At 36.6% G+C, this 25,997-nt stretch overlaps 1 protein-coding gene across 3 annotated transcripts in view; it reads left to right on the top strand.

Annotated features, from left to right (window-relative positions):
• The window catches only part of GRID1 (glutamate ionotropic receptor delta type subunit 1), a 767,244-nt gene that overhangs the window by 551,543 nt on the left and 189,704 nt on the right, over window positions 1-25,997 (top strand). The window contains exon 1 of one of the 3 annotated variants that reach the window (XM_047425122.1): window positions 23,694-23,799. The exons of 1 other annotated variant lie outside the window; for it this stretch is intronic. The gene's annotated coding sequence lies outside the window, so the exon portion shown is untranslated. Of the gene's footprint in view, window positions 1-23,693; window positions 23,800-23,824; window positions 24,140-25,997 lie in introns of those variants that run through there. One more of the 3 variants, XM_047425123.1, reaches the window with a different exon arrangement.

Genomic DNA, 25,997 nt, shown 5'->3' with positions numbered 1-25,997 from the left:
TTAAGTCGTGGAAGTTTCCTTCTGTTCTTAGTTCCTTGAGAGTTTTTATCATGAATAGATGTTGAATTTTGTTGAATGGTTCATGGAGATGATTATGATTTTTTTCTCTCAGGTTTTCAGTGTGATCATATGGCGAATTCCAGCAATTGATTTTTGTATGTGAAAGCAGTTTTGCATTTTGGGCATGAACATCACTTGGTCATGATGTATTATCTTTTTTATATGTGGCTCCTTTCAGTTTGCTGGTATTTTGCTGACAATTTTGCATCTATGTTCACATGAACTGTTGGTCTCCAGTTTTTCTGTAATGACCATTTGGTTTTGGTATGAGCATAATGCTGACCTCATAAAAAGAGTTGGTAAATATTCTCTCCTCTTCTGTTTTCTAGAAGAAATTGTGCAGAATTGGTATTATTTCTTCCTGATCCATCAGTGAAACTATAAGGGCCTTTTGAAAGGTTTTTAACTACAAATTTAATAACTTTAATAGATATGAGGGTTATCTCATTATCTATTTCTTCTTAAGTAGTTTATAGTAGTTTGTATGTTTCAAGGTATTGATTATTTTCATCAAAGTTGTTTAATTTATAGACATAGAATTATTAATGGTATTCCGTTAATATCATTTAAAAGTATGTAGTAATGTCCTATTTTAATTCCAGATGTTAGTAGTTTGTGTTATTTCTATTCATTACTTGGACAGACTGACTAGAGGTTTATCAATCTTACTCATCTTTTCAAAGACACTATCTTTTAGTTTCATTGATTTTTCTCTGTTGTTTTTCTGTTTTTAACTTCAATCATTTCTGCTTTTACCTTTATTATTTTCCTTCTATTGCTTGTTTTAGCTTTAATTTATTCTTTCTCTAATTACTTAAGTTAGAAACTTAGGTTATTTATTTTATATCTTTATTCTTTCTTTAACATAGCATTTAATTCTACACATTTCCCTCTAAGTCCTGCTTTGGCTACATTTCACAACATTACATAAGTTGCATAATTATCCATCCATTTATTTTCAATCTGCCTGGCATTTATATTTAAATTGTTGCTTGTATATGCAGCCCATGGCAGGGTATTGCTTTTTGTCCACTCTATCAATATCTGCCTTTAAATTGGAGTGTTTGGCACATTGTATAATTTTGTGTAATTATTGATAGAGTTGGGTTTATGTCTACAATTTTCTTATTAATTTTTTGGTTGTTCAGTCTCCATATCCTTTTTCTTGCCTTTTTTGAATTATTTAAATTTTTAAAAATATTTCATTTTATTTATTTACATTTTGGGTATGTATTTTCTGTCAATATTTAAGGGATTTACGTAGCATTAATATTGTATCACTTTATGTAAACTTTAGAAAATTTCTAGCATGGAGGTCCCTATAACTCTCCTCCCTTACCCCTATGCTATTTTGCATTATAGATGTCATATATATCTGCATACACTGAAAGATCTAACAGATGATATAATTTTTTATTTCAACATTCAGTTGCACACATTTAAAAGTACTTAAGATATAAGAAAATAGCCTAGATATTTACTATTTATTTTATTCTTTAATTTCTGAAGATGCAAGTTTCCCTCTGGTATTGTTTACCTTGAATTTTTTTAAACATAAGTTTTTAAAAAATGTTTTAAAGCAAATTTTAAAAAACATTTTTAATATTGTAGGCCTGCTGTAAAACTTCTATTTGTTTTTCTTCTTGTGAGAAGATTGTAAGTTTCATTTGTTCTTGAAGGATATTTTTATAGGATATAAAATTCTGGTTTGACAGTTCTTTTTTTTTTTTCAGCGTTTCACATTTTAAAGATGTTGTTCCACTTTATTCTGACTTCCATATCCTCTGATGAGAAATCAATGGTGATTCCAATCCTGCTTCCCCTGTGTATAATGTGTTGTTTTCTTCTGGCTGCTTTCAGGATTTTTCCTTTTATTTTGTTTTCAGCAATTTGATTAAGATGTATGTAGACATGGTTTTCTTTGTGCTTATACTTTTTGGAGTTCACTGACTGTCTTGAATCCGTAATTTATATATATATATATTTTATCAAATTTGGAATGTTTTCTATAATTACTGCTTTAAATATTTTTGCATGAAAATGTTTTTCTCTTCTTCTGGGGCTCCAATGGCACATCAATTAAACCATTTAATGTAGAGTCCTAGAGGCTCTGATCTTTCTTTTTCAATCTTTTCCCCCTTCTTTTCTCTTCAGATTGAATTGTTTCTATTGTTCTATTCAAGTTCACCAAATATAAAGCAATACATGAGTTTCCATGCTAACTTTAGGTACCAATGCTGCCATTACCACCATGCTGATACACAGCAAGAGCCCTCTTAAGTTGAAAGAGAGCAGGGGAATATATATATACACACATATGTGTGTGTATATATATATAATATACACACAGATATACACATATTAATACACATACATACACATATATATGTATATATAGACACACACAAATATGTAGTGAAAGAGAGAGATTGGGGGGAGGGAGAGAGAGAGAGAGAGAGAGAACTTCTGTTTGCTTGTTTAGTTTTGACTTTCATTCACAATCTGCCTGCATTACCTCACACTTTAGAGTCCTCAGGTAATTATTTTCTGCATTTTTTTCCAGAAATTATAGCTCCAACTAGCAGAAGGGCTGGGCTGTAATGGATTCCTACCAGCCTAGCGGAATTGGAATTCCAGTTATGTCTTTTAAGTAAATTAAGAGGTTTAAAAAATAATAAAATGCTAATCATTGCTATCTCCAAGAGGGCTTTTACAGCCACTATACATCACTGCCATTATCACAACATATATGTCACCTTTGTACATACACCCTGATCATCATTTTTTGAAGCACATTTCCACAGGTTATCAAGTTCCAGGTTTGTAATTTTCTTTATTTTAATACTTTATGTATGTAATCTTATTCTCATGTCATAGTAAGGTTTGATTTTTTTTCTCTTTCTCCTTTGTGTATCTGTTCTAACTATGATTTTTGTAATTTTGTGTGTTTTCATGATGGTAGTTATCATCTTTTCACTTCCAGATGTAGGACTCCCTTAATCATTTCTTTTAACACCAGTAAAGTTGTGAATCATTCCTGTAGTTTTTGCTTATCTGGGAAAGACTTTATTTCTCCCTCCTTTCTAAATAACAGTTTTGCCTAGTTCTTGACTGGCAGTATGTTTTTCTTTCAGCACTTTCTATAAATTATTCCATTCTTTTCTGGCCTGTAAGATTTCTTCTGAGAAACCTACTGTTGGTCTAATTGGAATTCTCTTATACCTGACTTGCTGTTTTTCTCTTGCTGCTTTTAGAATGCTCTCTTTGTCTTTGATTGATGATTAGCTCTAATGTACGTGGGAGAGGATGTGTTTGTGTTTAATCTATTTGGGGTCCTTTGAGCTTTCTGGACCTGGATGTCCATCTCTCTCTTTCTAGACTTGGGAAGTTTTCTGCTATTATTTTATCAAAAATGTTTTCCTCACCTCTTCCCTTCTCTTCACCTTCTGATTGCTCATAATGCAAATAGTTATTCACTTAATGGTTTTCCATAAATTCTGTAGGCTTTCTTTATTTGTTCTTTCTCTTTTTTTGTCTGCTTTTGTTATTTCAAAAGATCTGTCTTGAAGTTTAGAAATTCTTTCTTTTGCTTGGTCTCGTCTGTTGTTGAAGCTCTTGATTGTATTTTTTATTCCATTCATTAAGTTTTTCAGGTCTAGAATTTTTGTTTGGTTCTTTTTAAAAATAATATCTATCTCTTGTTTAATTTTTAATGCAGATACTAAGTTGGCTTCCTAATTTAATTGAATCGTTTATTTATATTATCTTGTATCTCACTGGCATTTTGTATATTTCCTTTGATTTGGGGTCTATTACTGCAAAATTATTGTGTTACTTTGGAGGTGTCATGTTTCCTTGCTTTCTCAAGTTTGCTGTGTCCTTACATTGATATTTATGCACCTGAGGGAATAGTAGCCTCTTCCAATTTTATAGAATAGGTTTCATAGGAAAAGCCTTATTCCTATAGATGGGTTTTTATATGTCGATTGGCTGGGATGTACTGACTTTGGTTCTTGGTACATAAAGTAGTGCAGTTTCTTCAGATGTAATCCATGTTAGTGATGTTTGATAGTGCCTCAGTGGCCTAGGTTGTGAGGATTTGTGGTGGTGATGACACAGCTTCTTCAGGGGTGGGCTTGCTGAAGTGTTTCTCAGGCTAGGGTGTATGCATGAACACAGTGGATCAGCCAACTTGAGGGCTGGTTCACTAAGGTTTGTGCCACCAGGATGTTTTTTGGACTTTGGGTGCAGGTGCTCAGGATGAGTCAGCTGGCTTGGGGACTGGCTCACCGGGGTCAGGGTCTCTGGGTTATTACTCCAACTGGAGACATGAGTCATGCCTGTTTGGCTGGCTTGGAGTGGGTCTGCCAGGGTTGGGTCTACTCAGCTATTTCTGTGGTCAGGGTAATGGGTGCATAGCCACTAAGCCAGTTCAGGCATATGTCTGCCTGGGGCAGGTCCACCAGGCTGTTTTTCTGATGGGGAATATGATGATGCAGATGCTTGGGAGCTTAGGGGCATGTCGGCCGGGGCAGGTTTGCCTGGCTTCATCTCCAGTTGGGAGTGAGGGTGCATGGTAGTTAGGTCAGCTTAAGGCCAGGTCTGCCTGGAATGGGTCTGCTGGAGTGTTTCTCTTACCATGACTCAGGCACACAGCTGCTCATCTGCTTTGGGGCCTTCTCTGCTAGAGTCAGGTCTGCTAGACTGTTTCTCCAACTCTGGCCACAGCTGCTTAGCAGCTCAAGGGTGTGTCTAGCCAGGGTCAGGTCTGCTGGACTGTTTATCTGGCCAGGGACATGGGTGCACAGCAGTTCAGCTGACCCAGGATGGCTTACCTGCAGTGTGGTAAGGGAGCAAGGGCCATTCCTGGGCCCAGGCTCTGAGCAGCTGGGGTCATGGTGTTACAGCCACCCATGTGGGTGGAGAGATGGTGGAATCCCATGGTTGGAGGCCCAAAGTTGCTACTGGCCCCCAGGGCAGAGCACACTCCAGTAGTGGCTCTGGTTTTAAGATGGCACCACACCCCAGCAGCTGGGGTCATGGTGTTACAGCCACCCATGTGGGTGGAAAGATGGTGGAATCCCATGGTTGGAGGCCCAAAGTTGCTACTGGCCCCCAGGGCAGAGCACACTCCAGTAGTGGCTCTGGTTTTAAGATGGCACCACACCCCAGCAGCTTGGGTAATTGGATAATGGAAGTACAAAACTTGTGCTCCTAATCCAGTGAAAAGCAGCCATGTGAATTCCAGACAGCTCCCAGACTGAGCTGAGGGATTGTGAAGACTGTGGGATTCTTCTGTAGTAAAGACTACAGGGGGGCTATAGTGGCAGTGAGGGCTGCTGCAGGTCCTCTGCTTTCCCTTTCCCACAGGAAGAAGTCCCTCCACTCTGAGCTGATCTCAATAAGAGAGATGGTTCAGCAGAGGGAGGGTGCCTTGCTCCCCTCTCTGCTACCCTCTTGAGTCTCTGAACACTGAAATGACTTCACTACTCCTTTGTTACACTTCAGCACTTTCCCTCTGAAGTTTCAGTAAAAGTTTTAGTTGTTAATTTACTTACTTGGTCCTTTTTTATAAGGAGAAATGTGTGGCAGGTCTTTCTAATTACCCATCTTGCTGATAGCACTCCTTTTGTCTAGGCAGATTTTTGTTCTGAAAGTCATCCATCCTATTGCTGCTCCTTTTAAAGGAACATACTTTTTTGTCTAGCTGCTTTTAAAATTTTCTCTGTGTTTGAGTTTTGGGAGTATGTTTATAATGTGTTTAGGTAGGTGTGGTTTTGGGAGTATGACTATAATGTGTTTAAGTAGGTGTGGCTTTTATTACTTTTATCCTACTGAAGTTATTGAGGGATTGGTTTGATGTGTTTTATTAAATTTAATAATTTAAGTTGTGATACTTTCTCTTCTTTTGAGACAACAATTAAACATTTATTAGACATTTTTAACAGGAACTTGTATCTTTTATGCTCTGTTTTTTTCCTCATTTTATTTTTTTCTCTGTGAATCAGTTGAATATTGGGTATAAACATATTTATAGGTTAACGAGTCACGTCTTCTGCTGTGTCCGGTCCATTTTATTCTGATTTAGTGAATATTCGATTTTATATTTTATTTTACAATTCTCGACTGTATTTATAATTTTTTGTGGATTTAAATTATTTGTTCAAATTTTTTAACTTTTCATTCAGGTTGTCTCTCATTTCCTCTGTTTTCTTTGACATACAAGCATAATATAGACATAATATTTATTTTTAAATGCTGGTCTGTTCACTCAATATCTTTACCTTTTAAGGTCTTAATTCTATTGACTATTTTATCTCTTGATTATCAGTCATTTTCTGTTTTTTAATATGTGTAATAGTACATTTTTACGTTTCCTGGACATTGTGGGAGATACGTTGTACCATCTTTGGTTTATGTTAGTTTTGTCTGATTATTGTAAAATGCTATACTAAAAGTCATTTTTGTTGCTAACAAATCATCTTGGTCCTATTGAGGTATGATTTTCAATTTGTTGTGGGATTCTATTTTAGCCTTTTCCTCACTCTTACTTAGATCATGCTTGCACTGAAGGCATAACCTCCCTTATGTGTCACTTAAAAGTCATTGACATTTATTCATCGAGATGTTTATACTTTGCCTGGGCCTAAAGTTTAACGTATTTCCAGAACTTTGTGACCTCTGAAATATGTGCTAATTTCTCCATTTTCCTAGTTGGTCAGTGACATCATCTTAGACTTTTTGCAAGCTAGTTACGTGTCATAGGAGTCATCCAAGAGTTTGCAATTTTTACAGAGATATTTTGGACTTCTTTTTAATTTCAAATTGTTCCTTTCTCTTAACATACTTCACAAATTTTTCTCACCTTGGTACCACAAACTCTTATTTCTATTCCCTTCACCTAGTGAGACTCTCATTCCGTGCTTGTGTTTGATTTCCATGCAAAACTGATTTAAAAATATCTGCAGGTAATAATGTCTGGTGTGAATATGGGCCTCCTGCCATGTTTTTCTTGTTATTGCAGGAGTAACCTTGTAATTGTTTATATCTAAGGCCTGAAATCAGTTATTTTCTACATTTTGATAGATTTTATAATTATTTACTATGGGAACTTCCCTTATTTTTATGATTCTATTATATATTTATTCATGCCATTTCCCTGAAGTGTTGTTCAGTTTAAATAGATTTGAACTTTCAAATAAAGGTATCTCCTGGGCTTTACTTTTAAACTCAACACTGTTATGTTAATAAAGTTTATTATATGTGCAACTATGTTGTTTAATTTATATTACTGATGTACAAGAGTTTCTCTTGACTATGTACAGAAATGGAATTCCTGAGTCTTGTGAATAATAAACTTAAAAAATCAACTTATAATATCTATTTGTTTTCCAATGTGGTTATATTAATTATACTTCCAGCAGTGAATACAATATTCCACTGATCCTCATCTTCTTCACCCCTTACTATTTTTTAGGCTTCTTATTTATGCCACTCGAGAGAATGTAAAATAGTATCACATTTTGATCATGTTTTGCATATCCCTGATCACTATGAAAACTGAGCAGCTCTTCATATGTTAATTTAACATATGTTTTTTTCCAGTTAATATTCATTTCCATTTCTCATTTTTTCTACGGGAATATTTATCTCTTTCTAACTGATTAATGAGAGTTCTTCATGTAGTTTCTGAAACTTCTAACTTTTTGATTTTAAGTCACATGATTATCTTTCATATATTCGTATCATTCTTCCCTCCATATTTTTAAGGTGTCTAAAATTACTAATTCTTAATCTTAATAAATCAAGATTCTTTTTCTTTCCTTTTTTTTTTTTATTTGAGGAGATGGAATCTTGCCCTGCCATCCAGACCAGAGTGCAGTGGCGTGATCTCAGCTCACTGCAACCTCTGCCTCCTGGGTTCAAGTGATTCTCCTGCTTCTGCCTCCCGAGTAGCTGAGACTACAGGTGCGCGCCACCACACCTGGCTAATTTTTGTATTTTTAGTAGAGATGGTGTTTTGCCATGTTGGCCAGGCTGGTCTCAAACTCCTGACCTCAGATGATCCACCCACCTCAGCCTCCCAAAGTGCTGAGATTACAAACATAAGCCACTATGCCCAGCCCAAGATTATTTTTCTTTACAGTTAATAAACCAAGATTTTTTTTTTACTTTTAAAAGCAGTACTATTTGTCTGAATCCAAGGTAAAATATATATTCTTACATTTTGTAAAGTTTAAAAAAATCTGTTGAGATGTAATTTACAAATATTAAAGTGCACCCATTTTGATTGCATGATTAGATTAGTAATGATAAATATGTTCATACAGGTAACCACCACCCTATTTAAGCACTAGAACCTTTCCATGACACTAAAAAGTTCTCCCATTCCCCTTTTGAATTGAATGCCCCCTTCATTGTAGGCAAGTTTTTGATTTCTGTCACTATAAATATTATCTATTCTAGAACATACAAATAAAGTACACAGTCATCTTTTATATCAATTTTCTTTTAATTAGCCTAATGTTTTTGAGTTTTCCACGTTGTTTTGTTTATTCCTTTTTATTGAATTGTTCCTTTTTATTTGAGTGGCATTTCATTATATGAATATTATCACAATTTTATGAAAATTTGTTTTTTTTTCCAAACTTGGGTTATCATAAATCCAGCTTCTGAGAACATTCACATGCAATTATTTGTGTGGATGGGGACGTATGCTTTAATTTGTCTTAATTAAATATCTAGGGTTATGATAAATGTCTAGCCATAGTCTAAGAACACAGTCTAAGAAATTGCTGAACTGTTTTCCAAATTGGCTATATCCTTTTGTATTCTCACCAGAAATATATGGAATTTCCAGTTGCTCCACTTTCTTACCAACACTTGGCATGACTGTGTTAATTTTTGTCATTCTGGTGGGCATATAGTGGTATTTGTGTTTTCAAATTCTTCTATAAAGACTAATAATATTGAGCATCATTTCATGTGCTTGTTGGTAACTCTTAATGTGTTCTTTTGTGAAGTGTCTATTCAAATCTTTTGCCCATTTAAAACATTGGATTGCTTGTCTTCTTTGATTGAGTTATATAATTTCTTCAATATTCTGGATACCATTCATTAATTAGGTGTATGTATTGTGAATATTTTCTCCCAGACCATAGCTTGCTTGTCTTTTCCTTAATGGACTTTTTTTTTTTTAAAGCATGATAGTTATGGGGTCCAATTTATCAATCTTTCTTTTATGGCTTTTTGTTTCCTATTAAAAAAACTTTGTCCATCCCAAAGTCACAAATATTTTTCCCTATGTTTTTGTCTAAAATTTTATAGTTTTATGTTTTACTTTTCTGGCTATGATTGATTTTGAATTATTGTTTTGTATGTGTTGTGAGGGAGGTATCAAGGTATTTATTTACCTATTTATTTATCATATGATATCTAATTATTGAAAAGGCATTTCTTGCCCTAATTTATTACTTTGGGATCTTTGTTGAAAATGCATTCAGCATGTATATGTGGATCTTTTTCCAGACTCTCTAGTCTGTTTAGTTTTTAAAATACACTTATCTTTAAGCTAATACCACACCTTCTTCATTACTGAAGCTTTATAGTCACATGATGTAAATTCTTCACTTTTACTGCCTTGGTAAACATTATTTTGTCTATTCTTAGTCCTTTAAATTTTTAGAATCACATAATTTCTTAGAGTCAAATTGTCTGAAAACATCTGGGATTTTTTGGGGGGGATTGTTAAATCTTTTGACCAATTTAGGGTTTATTGGACATCTTAACAATATTGAGTCTTTCACTCATGAACATGCCAAATCTTTTCATTTATTTAGGTTTTATTTTATTTTTCTCATCAATAGTTTTTTAGTACACAGCCCTTGCATATATCTTATTAAATTTAGTATTATGTAGTTTATGTTTTGTACACTGTTTCAAAAGTTGTTTTAAATTTCATTTTTCAGTGGCTAACTAATGGTGTGTAGACAGATACCAGGTTTTTGTATCCTGTGAACTTGTTAAATATGTATTAGATCTAGAATTTTATTTCTATATTTTATTATTATATTCCTATATATTATGTATAGTATGTTCCTATATTCTAGTATATTTTTCTTATCTTCTTTGCATTTTTTAGATATATGACCAAAAGGGCAGTCAACTTCTTCCTTCCTTTTCTCCCTTCTCTCTCCTCCCATCCTCTTTTTTCCTTCATTTTCTTTTCTTTTCATTCTGTGGTTTTTTCTTTTGTACCTTTACTATAATGTTGGAAAGATGTGGTAAGAGCTGACATCCTTGTCCCCAAACTTAATTAGAAAGTATTCAGGTTTTATTATTAAGCATGTTGTGAAATGAAGGTTTTTTTGAACATGGGCTTTATCCAGTTTTTTTGTTGCTGAGGCATTTACCATAATTCAGCTTTGAATGTAATACAATTTTTACTGTGATTGTTATGGTAATTTGTTGCCTTATTCTGTTAATGAGGAGTGAATTATATTGACTGATTTTTTTTGAAAGGTAAAACAACCTTGCAATTCTATGACAAATACGTACATAGTCATAATGCTATATCTTTTTTATATATAAGTGAATTAGATTTATTATGATGAAGGGTATTAATCTATGATTTTTTTCTTGTAATGTCTTTGATTTTGAATGAGTATAACATTGGTCATATAAAATGAGTTAGGAAGTACCCTTTCCCCTGTTCTGTCTGAAGTTGTTTGTGTGAAATTGGTATTGTTTGTTCCCATATGGTTGTGTAAAGCCATGTAGACCTGTATTTTCTTTGTATGAGGCTTTTGAATTATGAATTCAATATCTTTAATTGTTACAGGTCTATTTAGAATTCTTAGTTCTTCTAATGTCAGTTTTGGTCATTTGGATCTCAAAACTTTTTTTTTCACTTTATTTTTTCAAATTCATTGGCATATTATTTATAGCAGTCTTTTATTATCATTTTCATGTTCGTAGAATCAGTAGTGATACCCTGTCTTTTACTCCCTAGATGGGTAATTTATGCTTTTTTTTCATTTTTTTCTTCCTTAACTAGTCTAAATAGGGTTTTATCAATTTTTATTGTTACTGTCAAGAATGAATTTTTGTCTTTATATATTTTCTGTTTTTTTTCAATTTCATTGATATCCCCTATTTAGTGTTCCATTAATTCTATTTATTTTGTGCTTACTTTGTTCTTCTTAGCTCCTTAATTGAAAGCTTGGGTTAGTGACTGTATACCTTTCTCTTTTAAAAAAATATAAATATTCAGAACTATAACTTTTTAAATAAATACTGCTTTGACTGTGTCCCATAAACTTTGCTATTTGAGTGTGCATTATTTTTTAGCTCAAAATATAACAAAAAGTATAAATGTGTGAGGTGATGGATACCCCATTGACTCTGATGTGATTATTATGTATTGATGCTTGTATCAAAACATCTGATGTAACCCACAAATATATACACTTACCATGTACCCACAAAAATTAAAATCTAAAAATATATTTTCTAATTTTCATTACAGTTTTTTGACCAATTGGTTATTTTCACATATGTTGCTTAAATTTCTTTATTTAGAGCTTTTTTTTTGAAAATGCTTTTGTTATTAATTTATTAATTAATTTTGTTTTGGTCACAGAATATTTTCTGCTTGATTTTAGTTGTTTTAAAGTTATTGAGACTTGTCTGATAGAAAAACAATAGTTAATCTAGGTGAGTAGTTCATTTGCACTGAAGTTGTTGGATGTGGTGTTCCATAAATGTCAGTTAGGTTAAGTTTGTATGTGGGGTTTTTAAAAATAAATTAATCGTATTTTTAGTGGGTACATAATAGGTGTATATATTTATAGGATACATGAGATGTTTTGATACAGGCATGCACTGTGAAATAATTACATCATGGGGAATGTATCCATCCTCTCAAACATTTATCTTTTGTGTTACAAATCAATCCAATTATACTCTTTTAGTTATTTTTAAATATACAGTTAAGTTATTATTGTCTATAGTCACACTGTTTTGCTATCAAATAATAGCTCTTACTCATTCTTTTAACTATATGTTTTGTACCCATTAACCATCCCCACCTTCCACTTACCCTCCAACTACCCTTCCCAGCCTCTGGTAACCACCCTTCTGGCAACCAACCTCTTGTCCAGTGTTGGAAAACAATTTTTATTGTATATTTATTCCTGTTTTTATTTATGGTGGAAGTGCTAGTACCAATTACTCTCTGTCTCCATGAGTTCAATTGTTTTGATTTTTAGATCCTGCAAATAAGCAATTTGATTTGAATGTTCCTTGGTGTGTGTGTGTGTGTGTGTGTGTGTGTGTGTGTGTGTGTGTGTGTGTTTATTCTGCTTGGATGCTTGGAGTTCTGGTGAGATTGCAGGACTCTCTTCATCTGTCTCTCTTCTCTCAACGGTCACAGTTCTGCCCTGCCTCTTGTCCAGTGTTTGAAAACAGTTTTTTTTTGTATATTTATTTCTGCTTTTAAGTTATTTATTGGTGGAAGTGCTAGTACCAGTTCCTCTGTTATGACCAGGATTAGGAGTTCTTCCTATTAAAATTTAATTTTTTTTCCTTTTAAAGATAAGATCTGAATCTATGTGGAGATAAATTTTGTGCATAATATGAGTTGGCATACAATTTCATTTTTAAAAGGTTACGAATAAGCATTTTACCACAGTTCTATTTATCCAGTAGTCCTTTGCCTAATGATTTATCATGCCTCCTGTTTTCTATAGGCAAATTTTCATATTCATATATATGTGGGTCTGCTTCTGGGTTCTCTATTTTATTGTGATGGTCAGTTGATCTATCACTGTACCAATACTGAACTATCTTAATTTCTATGGCTTAATAATAAATCATATAAATCATATTATCTGTTAAGTTGGGTTCTCTCTCCCAGTTCTTCTTCAGAAATGTCTTAGCTATTCTTGGCTCTTTATTCCCTCCAAGTTCCTTGTGAAATGTTGCTTTTTTGATTAGCATTTCTTTGGCTGTATAGAACAATTTCAGCGACAGTTGATATCCTTACCATATTATGTCTTGTTTTCCTTGATCATGGGTTAACAGTTCATTTTAAAATTCTTTAATGACTTTCAGTAATTTTTATAACTTCCTCTTACAGATGTTGCACATTTTTGTTAGATTTATTTGCTATTGTAAATGCTGTCCTTTAAAGATGTTTTCTCTAATTGTTTGGTGTATAGAAAAACAAGTAACATTTATAGAGAGATTTTATATTTGTTTATCTAAATTCATCTCTTATAGCTAATAGTTTTTCTCAAGATTATTTTTGTTTGTTTTATATATAAACACGTAATCTGAAAATAATATCTCTTAATTTCACATATCTAATTCTTAGGTTTTTTTCCCTATAATTGTATATTCTAGAACATGTAGTATAATGTTGAATAGATTTGTTAATATTGAACATCATTTTATGTTCTGATTTTAAAGCAGTTGCTTTACATTTTCCCACTTATGGTTATGTTTATTAAATGTACTTTGTAGATCCCTTTTATCAAAATAAAGCACTTTCTTTCCATTCCTAATATAATTTTATCATAAATAAGATATTAAATATTATGGAAAGTTTTCTTTGTCTCTGTGAGGTGATGACATGGGTTTTCTCTATTAATTTGTTTAACAAAATTCATAAATTCTGTTGTATTTAGTTATTTAGAATTTGTTTTAAAGATTTTTAACACTTTTATTTAGACATTTTACATTTATATTGACAAATAAAATGAATAGTCCTGTAAAATTTTCTTCTTGAATAATTTTTATTTCTTTTCAGATCAAAATTATAGTGGATTTATAAGACGAGTTACAGTATGCTCCTTTTGCTTATATTTCTAAAAAGAACATGCATCTTGTAAATTTAGTAAAAATTGCCTATGAAAATGTTAAGAACTTCTTTGTGGGAAAACCTTTAATTCTTTTAATTTTTTTCAAAAGCTAACAGAATTTTCATGTTTTATTTCTTATTGAATTATTTTACATTAACTTTAACAAACAAATTTTCTAACTTCTAAAAGTTATTAGCATAAAGGAATTAATAATATTCTCTCATATTTTAGTTTTTACTCTGTTGTTAATTATGTCACTTTTTAAATCATAATATTGTTTGTTTGTTGTCACTCTTTATTTCTCTCTCTCTCCAAATCAATAATCCCAGAGGTTTGCCTATTTTATTATTCTTTTTAAATAATTGACTTTTATGTATATTGGAGTCTTTCTATTTTAACGAAACAGCTCAAACTCTGTAGCCAGATTCTGGCTCCAGCAATTACTAGCTGTGTGGTTCTGTGTTAATTACTTAAACTCTCTGTGCTTCCGTTTCTATCTCTGTAAAGTGGGAATTATATCCACCTCATAGGTTGTTATGATGATTAGAAGAGTTAATAACTGCAAAGCACTCGTGCTGCCTGACACATAGAAAGTAATATATAAAGATTTATTAAGTAAATAAATAATTGTGTTAATTTCTGTCCTTATCTCCTTCCTTGTATATTTTTGAAATTAATGTTACTCTCTTTATAGATTCTTAGGTTTTGCTTCTCTTCTAATATAAGAATTGGAAGTTAAATATTTTCCTCGAATTACCACTTTTGCTATATTCTATAAATTTAGCTATGTGGTCATCGTTTTGGGGTTTTGTTGTTGTTATAGTTCTAGATGGTTTTGAACTATCCATTATGGATTTTTCTATGATCTTGGAGTTATTTACAAGTACTTTAAAATTTTTCTCTATGTAACAATATCTTATGTTTTTGTTTCTATCTTGTAACCTTTGGTTAAGAACATAGTTTGTTCTTGTTTAGTATGTAATCCAGTTTCGGGACTGTATTATAAATGCCTGAGAATGATGTGTGTTTTTATATTGTCTGATACGCAACTATATGCTCATTAAATTGTGTTGTTCACATCTTCTATAATTTTGGCCATTGGTTTGCTTGACCAATGAGGAAGTTCCTTAGAAATTACTCACTTAATAGAGTTTTAGAGTTTTTTTTTTTGTAATTCTATATGTGTATATCTTGTGACTAATTTATTAGGCACATACTTGTTTAGACATGCATGAATTAGATATGTGTTTTTGATTCATTAAATGCTTTCAACATTCTGTAGTGATTTTCTATATTCCCTATACTTTTTAATTTTGTCTTTTAATTGACACATAATAATTGTGCATGTTTATAGGGTACAGTGTGATGTTTTGATACATATATACATTGTATAATAATCAAATCAGCATAATTAGCATATTAATTACCTCAAACATTTGTCATTTCTTTGTGATGAGAACATTCAAACTTCCCTCTTCTAGCTATTTTGAAATATACAACACACTATCTTTAACTGTAGTCACCCTACTATGCAACTGAGCACCAGAAGTCATTACTCCTCTTTAACTAATTTTATACCCAATAAACAACCTCTGCCCTTCTCCACCTCCCCACTACTCTCCCAACTTTGGTAACCACTATTCTACTCTCTACTCCTATGAGATTGGCTTTTTTAAGATTCCACGAGTGAGACCATGTGACATTTTTCCTGTGCTTGGCTTATTTGGGTTAACGTAATGTCCTCTAGGTTCATCCATTTTGTTGAAAATGACAAGATTTAAGTCTTTTTTATCGCTAAGTAATATTATGTTGTGTTGTATGTATAACACATTTTAAAAATCTATTCATCCATTGGTAGGCACTTAGGTTGATTCTATATCTTAGTTATTGTGAGTAGTGTTGTAATAAGCATAGATAAACATAGGAGTGCAGATATTCCTTCAACATAATCATTTTTCATATATAGAAGAAAACAGTTCTAAACTTTGTATGGAGCTACAAAAGATCCCAGATAGCAAAAGCAATCTTAAACAAAAAGAACAAAGCTGGAGGCATTACACTTTCTGACTTCAAAGTATACCCCAAAGCAATAGTAACCAAACAGGTTGGTACCAATGTAGACATGGACATGTAGACCAATTAAACAAAAGAGAGAGCCCAGAAATAAATACACACATTTACAGCCAACTGGTTTTCATAAAGGTGCCAAGAGCAGACATTAGAAAAAGTAGTCTTCTCAATAATGATGCTGGAAAACCTGAATATCTACATGCAGAAGAATGAAAATAGACCCTTATCTCTTATAAAAATCAACTCAAAATAGATTAAATACTAAAATGTTAGACCCCCAAACTATGAAACTACCAGAAAAAAATATGGGAGAAACACTTCATGACATTGGTCTAGGCAATAACTTTTTATGTAAGACCTCAAAAAAAAGACAACAAATACAAAAATAGACTAATGAGATTAAATCAAACTAAAAAGCTGCACAGCAAAGGAAACAATCAACAGTGAAGAGACAACCTGCAGAATAGGAGAAAATAAATATTTATAAACTATGCATCTGACAAGGGGTTAATATGCAGAATATACAAGAAGCTCAACAACTCAATAACAAAAAAAAATCTGATTTAAAAATGAACAAGAGATCTTAATATGAACTTCTCAGAAGATATGCAAAGAGACAGTATGTATATGAAAAATGCTCATCACTAATCACCAGGGAAATGCAAATCAAAACCATAGTGAGATATCACCTCACTCCAGTTAGAATGGCTATTACAAAAAAAACATAACAAATGCTGGTGAGGATGAGTAGAAAGTGAAATTATTTTACCCTGTTGGTGGAAAGGTAAATAGTACAACCACTATGGAAAACAGTTTGGTGTTTCCTCAAAAAACTACAAATAGAACTACCATATAATCCGACAATTCCACTACTGTCTATATATTCTCTATACTGTTTTGCCTTAATTTCTATATTGTCTGATAGTGACTTAGTTTTTCTTTTTATTAGAATTGCTTTGCATATCTCTTCTTATTACCTTCACTCTTAAAGCCTCAGCCTCCTTAAAGCAAAATTTGCAAAGAAGACATAGCAGATATTTTTTCCAATCACTGCCTTCAAACTGACAATAATATTTATTGTGATTGTTAAGAACTTAAAATAGAGCTACCATTCAACTCAGCAATCCCATTGCTGGGTATATACGCAAAGGAAAATAGATCATTGTACTCAAAAGACACGTACTCATATGGTCATCACCATGTATTCACAACAGAAAAGACATGGAATCAACCAGGTACCCATCAATGGTGGATTGGATAAACGTGGTATATGTATATACTGTGGAATACTATGCACCACTAAAAAGTATTTCATTGGCCATGGAATGCTATGCAACTATAAAAAAGAATGAAATCATGTCATTTGCAACAATATGGATGAAGCTGGAGGCTATAATGCTAAGTGAACTAACACAGGAACAGAAAACCAAATACTGCATATTCTCATGTATAAGTGGGAGCTAAACATTGAGCACAGATGGAAAGAAACATGTGTTGTAATAGACACTGTGGGCTGGGCGTGGTGGCTCACACCGTAATCCCAGCACTCTGAGAGGCCAAGGCGGGTGGATCACCTGAGGTTGGGAGTTAGAGACCAGCCTGACCAACATGGAGAAACCCCATCTCTACTAAAAAAAAAAAAAAAAAAAAATACAGATTTAGCCCCCAGTGGGTGTGGTGGCATATGCCTGTAATCCCAGCTGCTCAGGAGGCTGAGGCAGGAGAATCACTTGAACACGGGAGGTGGAGGTTGCAGTGAGCTGAGATTGCACCATTGCACTCCAGCCTGGGCAATAAGAGCAAAACTTGGTCTCAAAAAAGTAAATAAATAAAATAAAATAAAAATAAGTACAGAAATAAATAATAGACACTGTGGACTACTAGAGTTGGTAGGTGGTGAAGAGGATGTGAATTGAAAAACCAACAATTGTGTACTATACTCAGTACCCGAGTAGTGAGCTCAATACCCATGTAACAAACCTGCACACATACCCCATATATCTAAAAATAAAAGTTGAAATTAAAAAAAAAGGAAATTTGAAATTTTGATTTAAATTATCCAGTGTTTTGAGGTTTTTTAAAAAACTCTTTTTCAATAATAAGAAATTTAACAGCTTCATACCATATCATCCTGCTATTCTCTTTCATTCCCATTTTGGTTTCTTATATATACACTTTATCCTTTCCATTTGGGAGTGCTCTTAGCCTTTTAAAAGACAAAATAAAATTTTCCAGGTATTTTATCACTCCTACTTCATGTATCTCCTGCAGCATTTGTTAGGTTTGTTTCTTTTCTTATTTGGATACTTTATCACAAAGTCTTTCTAAAATGGGTCATTGTTAGACAAAACCAATGAAGCCTTCCTTGTATGTCTGAAAATATTTTTATGACGTTTGAAAGGCAATTTGTCTGGATATAAAATTTCAGATTTAATGTTCTTTTACTTAAAATGCCTTAAAATACCTTACTCCATTGTCTTATTGAAACTAATGCTTCTGTTGCTCTTGAAAAGTCTGATGTCAAATTGTTCTGAAAGGTTATTTGCTCTTTTTTTTTTTTGAGTTAGATCATTTTAACTATGAGCTTAAATTATTTCAGTGTTCAAAGTCATTGCTTTTCTACCATGATTTGCCCATCTAGATCTCTTAATTTTCAGAGTGGCTAGATTATATATTCACGCTGTTTTTCCAAGCAAGCCACTTTTGATTATTTCTGAGCCTTTTATATCTTGCAATGGGCTTCTTAGTCCGGAATGCACTTCTTGTGGCATTACATAAGTTGGAGACATTTACTCCTTTCTGTTGTTGTTTCTAGGGTATAAAATGGAAGGTCTGAAATAAAGCAGATTTTTAGTTAATACCATTTTTTCTCTGTAAGAATTTGTTATAGTATGTATTCTTTGTCCAATTAATATTTTAATCACAATATGTCTAGGTTTATTTTAAGAACTTTGTTTAGAGTGTGATAAGTCCCTTTGGCTTACAGTTGATTATTTTGAAATTCAAAAGTATTTCTCCAATGGTGTCTTCTTTGAGCCTGTCAAAGTTTTGTGGGTTTTCTGGTTTGTGCATTAGTTTTCCCAGAATTATCTGTGATTCCAGCTTTGATCTTTATTCTCTATTCTCTCCACACCATTCCCCTTGTCCTTGTCATTGCTATCTCTGACCATTCCTTTCACATTGTCAGGAAGAGAAGGCTTCCCATGACTGATCCAGTCTTTTCTTCGTCAATTCCAATGCTGGGATTAGAGGTTTGGTTTTGTTTGCAACCCTCCCTTAACTCCCCAGCTCCCCTTTTAAGCTCAGCTTGTCATTTTTTCTGTCTCTTCCTGTGACTCTCCATCTCAGTCTGTTTTCTTCCTTCAGTTCTTCATAACAGTTTCATTATAAACATGTCCTCTGAATCATTTGGAAGATGTTGTTTACTGTTGTGTGCATTGTTCTACCCATGGTCACTTTCTCTAGATTGCTCAGCAAGCAACTGCAAGCCCTGCTGTAAGATGTTGAGATTCTTTGTAATCTGTCTTGGCCAAATGTGCTTTGCTGGTGGGCATTATGGGTGCCAGGATTCGACGTGCCGTTGCCTGTCTCCTTTCTCCTCCACTTCCTGTTTTCTGTCTTCCTGTTTCCTGGTAATTGTTTTCCCTAAATTAATTTAGAGCATTTTCTGAAAATATGTTTCAGGGAACACTAGTTCTTCAGGATGTGTATAGATGATAAATGAAAAATAAAAATGCCTTGTATTCAAGTGCATTTAAGAAATATTGAATTAAACAAAATCATTACAGGATTGTTTACTAAATGGCTTCTGAGAGCCTTTGATGACTGTGGCTTTTTGAGATAGGACTAGATGAAGCTCTCTGAGGTGCGTCTTGTAAGACTGACATGCTGCAGAACACCTTTTAGAATCTTTTGCTGTCATATGTTTGGGGAGATGCAGAAAATGGTCTGGCTGCCCCAGGAACAGGAAGCACACAGTAGAGGAATTGCTATGTACTATTCAATTTGACATAAACCTTGGGCCTCCAATTTCAAGAACAAGCAAAGAAGGAATGAATGATGTTAGAATATCCTTCTGTGGTGATTCAGAGTGGCGAGGCTGTCCTGTCTTTTGAACAAAAGCATAGGTAGTCCAGTGATTATATTTCTCGATCCATATCCATCTACCTATATTCAAGGGAAATTCCTAATATTTACAGTGGGATGACTGTCAGTATTGTCTTCATCTTTTTTCTATATTTTCATCATTTCTGTGTCTTTATAAATATTTAGTTAGAAGTTGGGGGAGAATGTGTCATCTGCCATTTTCAACTGGAGACCTATGTAAATAGTGCAAGAGGTTGGTAAGTAATCCACCTTGAATTTGCTGTGTCTTTCAGGCAGGAAAAGCAATCACTTGGCAGTATGTCAGCTTCACACTTCTACATCAGTGTTTGACCTCAAGGGCATGGCTATACTGTCTTATGATTACAGGAGGCAAATGCAGGGTCTTATCTCCACATCAGCTGCCTTTACATCACTTGGGTCTATTAGCACCCAGTGGTAAATACTACTGGCTGCACCGCAGGCACTGGCTTAGAAGTAAAACTTTGAATTTGCCATTGCCATTACTTAACCCCCATCAAAGGTAGATTGAGAGAAACAACACTTTTAGTAGATTACCTGACAGCTATTCAATCTGTCAATCCTTTGGACACTAACGTTTATAATCAGCAAGATTCTTCCAGTGGAGAATTGCTTTCCTCTGTGAAGATCCATTTAATCAAATATTTTTGGTGTGATGTCACTGGCTTTCATTCAAGAGCATGATTAGAAACACACTTATAAAATTCATTATTGACTTTATTGTGAACATGATCCTGAAAACATTCACTGCCTGACACACATTTTCTCTTTAGCACCGATGCTCTGAGATTCAATCTCAGGGACGGAAATAGCTGTGCTTGTTTTTGTCCTATGTTATAAATCATATAAATGATTAGGTTACTGATCATATTAAGCAGCTAAAATGATGGATAACAGAGTTGATATTTAAATCATTATGGCAGGCTGGGTAGAGGCTAACCAAATAACCTCAGCAGTGGAAAATCTACAGCCTTCATTTGGGTAAAAACAATCCATTGAAACACCTGTTCTGACAGAGAGATTAATTCAGCATTTCCAAAAGTGTGCTCGGAGATGCTGTCCTTCAAGGAGATGCTTCTTGAAGGAAAGACCCCGGAGAGAACTAAGTATGGGAAATGCTGCATGTTAAATCTATCTTATCATGATTCACAATACACATTAGCATATTAAAAGTCTGTAGTAAAGAAATCTGTTTAATTCTGTTGTTTCCAGTTTTTCTTCCTAAATTCATTTAATGCAGGGCTTTTGTTCTTGTTGTCATTCCTGGTAGGACCCAGGACTATCCCAGGAATGCTCTGCAGAGTTCATTTTAGAAAATGCCAGGTTAAATCATTCAACCTAAGACCAGTGAGTTTTCCTTCCCACTGTTGATTGATTCTCACTATAATAATGCTTTTATTTTTTCATATAGTTTTCATTACCTTTACCATGGTAGTAATAGCTATCATTTGTGGAGTATTTTGTATGTGCCGTACCTTGTAAATGTTACTATCAGTGAGCGTAGCAGAGATGCCAAATGGTGAAGCCCTGCAGAGACCATCAGACCCTGAAGAGGCTGGAAAACTCACATGATAGCTGTTGGTCCAAGGGCAGAACTGGATTCCTCCAGTCATGTCTTTCCTGACCTTCTTCCAGGCCTGGGCTGGGTTATGCAGATAAAGTTATGAGTAAGAAATATGGTCTTTGTCTCCAAGAGCTTAAAATTGAGATCACTGACAGACAATGCATGTAAGAGGAGCTGGGTAAGAGACTCCAGAAGAGAAAGTGATTGCTTAGTGGAGGTTCAAGTGCAGCTTGATTGCGGAGAGCACACCTGTGCTGCTGGATGGACAGCAGCTGCTAGGTGGGGGCAGGCTAAGGATCCAGCAGAAGATGCACCAGCAGAGTCCCTGCAGGATGCCACTCAAGGAGTGCACATGGAAGTGCCAGGAGTTGCTTCTGGTTGAGGCAGTGGATTTCGCATGGCTGGATCATGGAACCCTTTGGGAGAGGAAGATGGAAATTGGACGTGGAAAGGCTTCAAAGCCCATCGAGAGTGTTGAGCTCCAGAAAGGAGGCATGCCTGCACTCTGGAGCTAATATGTGGCACTTGCCAGAAGTTGTATCATGAAAAAGCTAAGGGAGGGATGGGACAAGGGTGTGGCAGAGCCCTGAAGCAGGTACTGATGACATCGGAGTAGGCATCTGACTTAATCTGAAATGTTTCATGCCTTCCTCACTGCCATCATTGTGACAGGCAAGTGCTCCTGCTGACACTTCTCTGTCTGCTCTGCTGGCCCACCTTCTCAGAGCCCTGTAAGTACTCTGACGGGAACTCAGAATAAGGGTCATTGTGGCCTACTCCCTGCAGGACTCTGGGTGTCATTTCCATCATTCCACTGGGATACCAGGAGGAAGAGGCTTCGAGCTTGAGAGGAAGAACACAGCTTCCTGAGAGGTCTGGAGTGGCCCTGCCTTTGAACCTGCCCCATGGATCTGGGTGCTTGGACAGAGCTGCAGCAGTCACTTCATTTAGCCAGCATTGTGAGGAGTGGAAAGAGAGAGACCAGGATCCTGAGGCCTTCGGCACCTCTCAGCTCAGATCTCAAGCTGGATTCCTCCAGAGTCATAAACCCTATATCCTGCCAGAGAACAAATCATTCCAGCAAGAAAGAGGATTCTGGCTTCCAGTGTCTGATGACTTATGAAGTGCAGCCAAGAGTGAAAATCATTTTAAAAATATTGAAAGGCACCTCGCCAGGGCTCCCTCCACTGGTGGAAATATGAATACAGGATTTATTTGAGGCCCCAAGTGCTGTGGCATCATCCAGAGATGGGGACAACACTGTCTGCATTTTAGAGCTGACAGCTACAACTTGTTTCTTCCTGCTGCTGTGGCTGCGACTGCTGCCACCGTCAGGAGCTTCGAGCATCAGGGCGGATCTCTGGTGGCACTGGCAGTTGAGGCATAATCCTTCAATGGTGTAGATGATGGTTTCAGGGAGGCTGAGGTCCCAGGCCTGTGGCAGGAGGATTTGGGGAAAGCCATGCTCTGTGGTTTGGCCAGCTTGGGTAGATAACTTAAGTTATGCACTAGCTCATGAATACACTTAGGCTTCCAGAACCTAAGGTGAGGACACTCTTTTGGACTGGCTCCCTGGCCTCCTGCCTGGGGGCCCCAGGGACTCAGCTGCTTCTCTTATTTCTGACACTGCATCTTCCCCATTGGACCACAGCCCAGCCCTCTCCCTATGCCCCCTGCACAAAAGCCCAGGGTCCCCTGGCTTTGTCTCTTCCCTAAGCTGAACTATTTGCTTTTCATCTCTGTCTGTTGTTTTATAATCTCTTCTTTGAACTCTTGTATCTCTTCTTAGATTTCTTTTTCCTTCAAGAGACCATGTTCTCTGTAACTTTTTTGAGACTGGGGAGAATATTTGCCTGAACTATTAATCTTTTTTCCCCTAAGAGATAATTCCTTGTGATCGATTGTTACATTTTCTTTATCTGCTTTTCTCCCCATGCTGGCTTCTCCCTCCCTTACTCATGATTTGGGGACATTCTGTTCATATATATATTGTCACTTTCTTTCTGGTTATCATTCACCTTCAAAGAGAGCTGGCTCCCTGTTTCAGAAAGTGTAGGGAGGGACTGGGGACCAGGGTCAGGAGCTTGCTGGGGCCGTCCTTGGCTTCTGTGAGAATTGGTGAGTTCTCTCTTTCCAAGTTTTTGATTCACTTTGTCCTGGATGTGTATCTCTCCATAATTTTCAGGATTCAAAATGGAAGGGAACTTTCAGAAAATTCTTCTAAGATCTGCATTGCGCCAGTCAGGGTTTTGGCCTCTGCCTTCAGGTCCTGTGCTCCATCTCGCCATGGGGCATCTTTCATGGCCTGGGTGTGGCTGGAAACCACAACACAGTTTCTGCCTTGCTTGGCCTCCTGTTGGATTTGGGGGCCAACCTGGACTCAGTCACGTCGTCTGTGGGCTCCCTGAAATGCTCTTATCTGAGGACATCTGTGTTCTGCTCGGACCTGAGCTGCCAGGTGGGTATCGATATTGGGTGTCACTGCCTGTCTGGTGTGCTTCTGTCACCATGGGTGGCCATCGCTAGGGATGAAGTCACTCGTTGTCTCTGGGAAAGGCAGGATTAGAAGGGGAGTAGATAACCATGGAGGCAGTAGAGTGTGTTGCCCCCAGGCCCTCAGGAAGGCTAGAACCAAATCCCAGCAAGTTTCTCTACTCTGCTCAGAGAGAGCGGGGCTGTGCCTGGTCTCTAAAGAGCAGAGGAGCTGGGGAGAGAGGGTCCTGTGCAGCCAGGACAAGGGCTTGGTCAAGGCACTTGAGAGGTTGTGAGGAGCGGGTGGTTGAGAAGCCGGGTGGCCCTGCACAGTCAGCCACTGCTGTTCTCTGTCTCAGATGCCCAATCATAGAGCAGGGAGGTGACCATTCTCATATGCACCTGACCCAGACAGAAGGCGAGGGGACCAAGGGCCTGGCTGCTCCCTGCCAGGAGGCTCCTGGTCTGACTCAGGACAGGGCCTGCCCCAAACCTAGTGACCCCAGCATCCCCTGGTGCCCCATACTGACATGGCCTGAACTCCACACCCTTCCCCCCACTCCCTCTGCCCAGACAGGACCTTCCTTTGATAGAAACATCCTTTTGCCCCACTCTGAATCTCCTTCATCATCTGCCTGTCCTGCAGTCTCCTCACAGATGCAGACCTTGTTTGTTTCTTTCCAGTTTCCCTTTCCCAAGGCCTGAAATGGCCTCTGGGTGTGGAGCCAGGTCCCCTGAGGACAATTGCCTAGTGACAAACTGCTGGGGCTTGGCAGCCTCTGTGTCATCTCATTTAATCATTCTCTTGTTCCGTCTATATTTATTGAGTTCCTGGTATCTGCCAGTCATGGATTCAGGTGCTGGGGAATGACAGGGGACGAAGGGAAACACAGCCTTGTCCTCCCACATCTGGGGCTGGCCCTCACCCGCTTTGGTGGACAGGCTCAGTCATGCTGGAGCGCTGTGATAGGAGAGGTGGGTGGACCCAGGAACATGCAGCAGTGGTCCCAGCCTGGCTGGAGGAGGATGAATTGCCCACTGGGAAAAGCTTCCAGACAAAGTAAATCTAAGCTGAGGCCAGAGGCAGAGTCAGGAAAAGGGAGAGGGCTCTCCGGAGATGGAAGAGCAGGTGTGGATGCCAAGAGCCATGAGGGCGGGTGCTGCCACTGCAGAACTTGGGGCTCTTCAGCCTGGGGGAAGCCAGAGGGTCCCAGGGCCTGATCACTCAGACTTGCAAACTGCACTTGTGTTTGGACTGTAGGTTTGCATTGAATGAGATCACAGTGCCACAGTGTGGGGATGTTCAGGACCCACCCCCTGCTCTTGGCCTCTGCTACCCTGACTGTGAGGCCCCTAAATCTCCTGGGTTCCTGGGGGATTGTCCCATCCATGGGCAGTTCTGAAGCCAGCCTGGTTCCTTCCTCTCAGCTGTGAAACCTGAAAGTGTTTGCTGCTTTAATTGTGGCAAAGGAATTCATAAAGCTACAGCTGAAAGGGCATCCTCTGAAGCCTGCCTGTGTCACCAGAGGGGCTGTTTAATAATAGGAAGCATACTTGGATCTGGGCACTGCACAGGGAGCTTTGAGACCCATTTTCACCCTAAGAGGTGGTCTTTCTTCCAAGCTGCCATGTTCTATAAATTCAAGCTGAGACCCAGGGAGAGAGACACCTCTATATTATCCATGATTCTCCTGGATAGTGCTGCCCAGTCTGGAGTGCTCACAGGTCCTCTCCACACTGCGGCTGCTCTGGCATCTTCCCCAGGGCCCTCTGGGTGGGCACCAGCCTGCACACGGATGGCGGTACTCTGTGCAGTGTCAGCTTTGGCAGGTGTCTTGGCTCCA

This window comes from Homo sapiens, chromosome 10 (genome assembly GCF_000001405.40).
Source record: "Homo sapiens chromosome 10, GRCh38.p14 Primary Assembly".
Classification (NCBI taxonomy): domain Eukaryota; kingdom Metazoa; phylum Chordata; class Mammalia; order Primates; family Hominidae; genus Homo; species Homo sapiens.
This window is presented reverse-complemented; position numbering and strand designations above follow the sequence as displayed.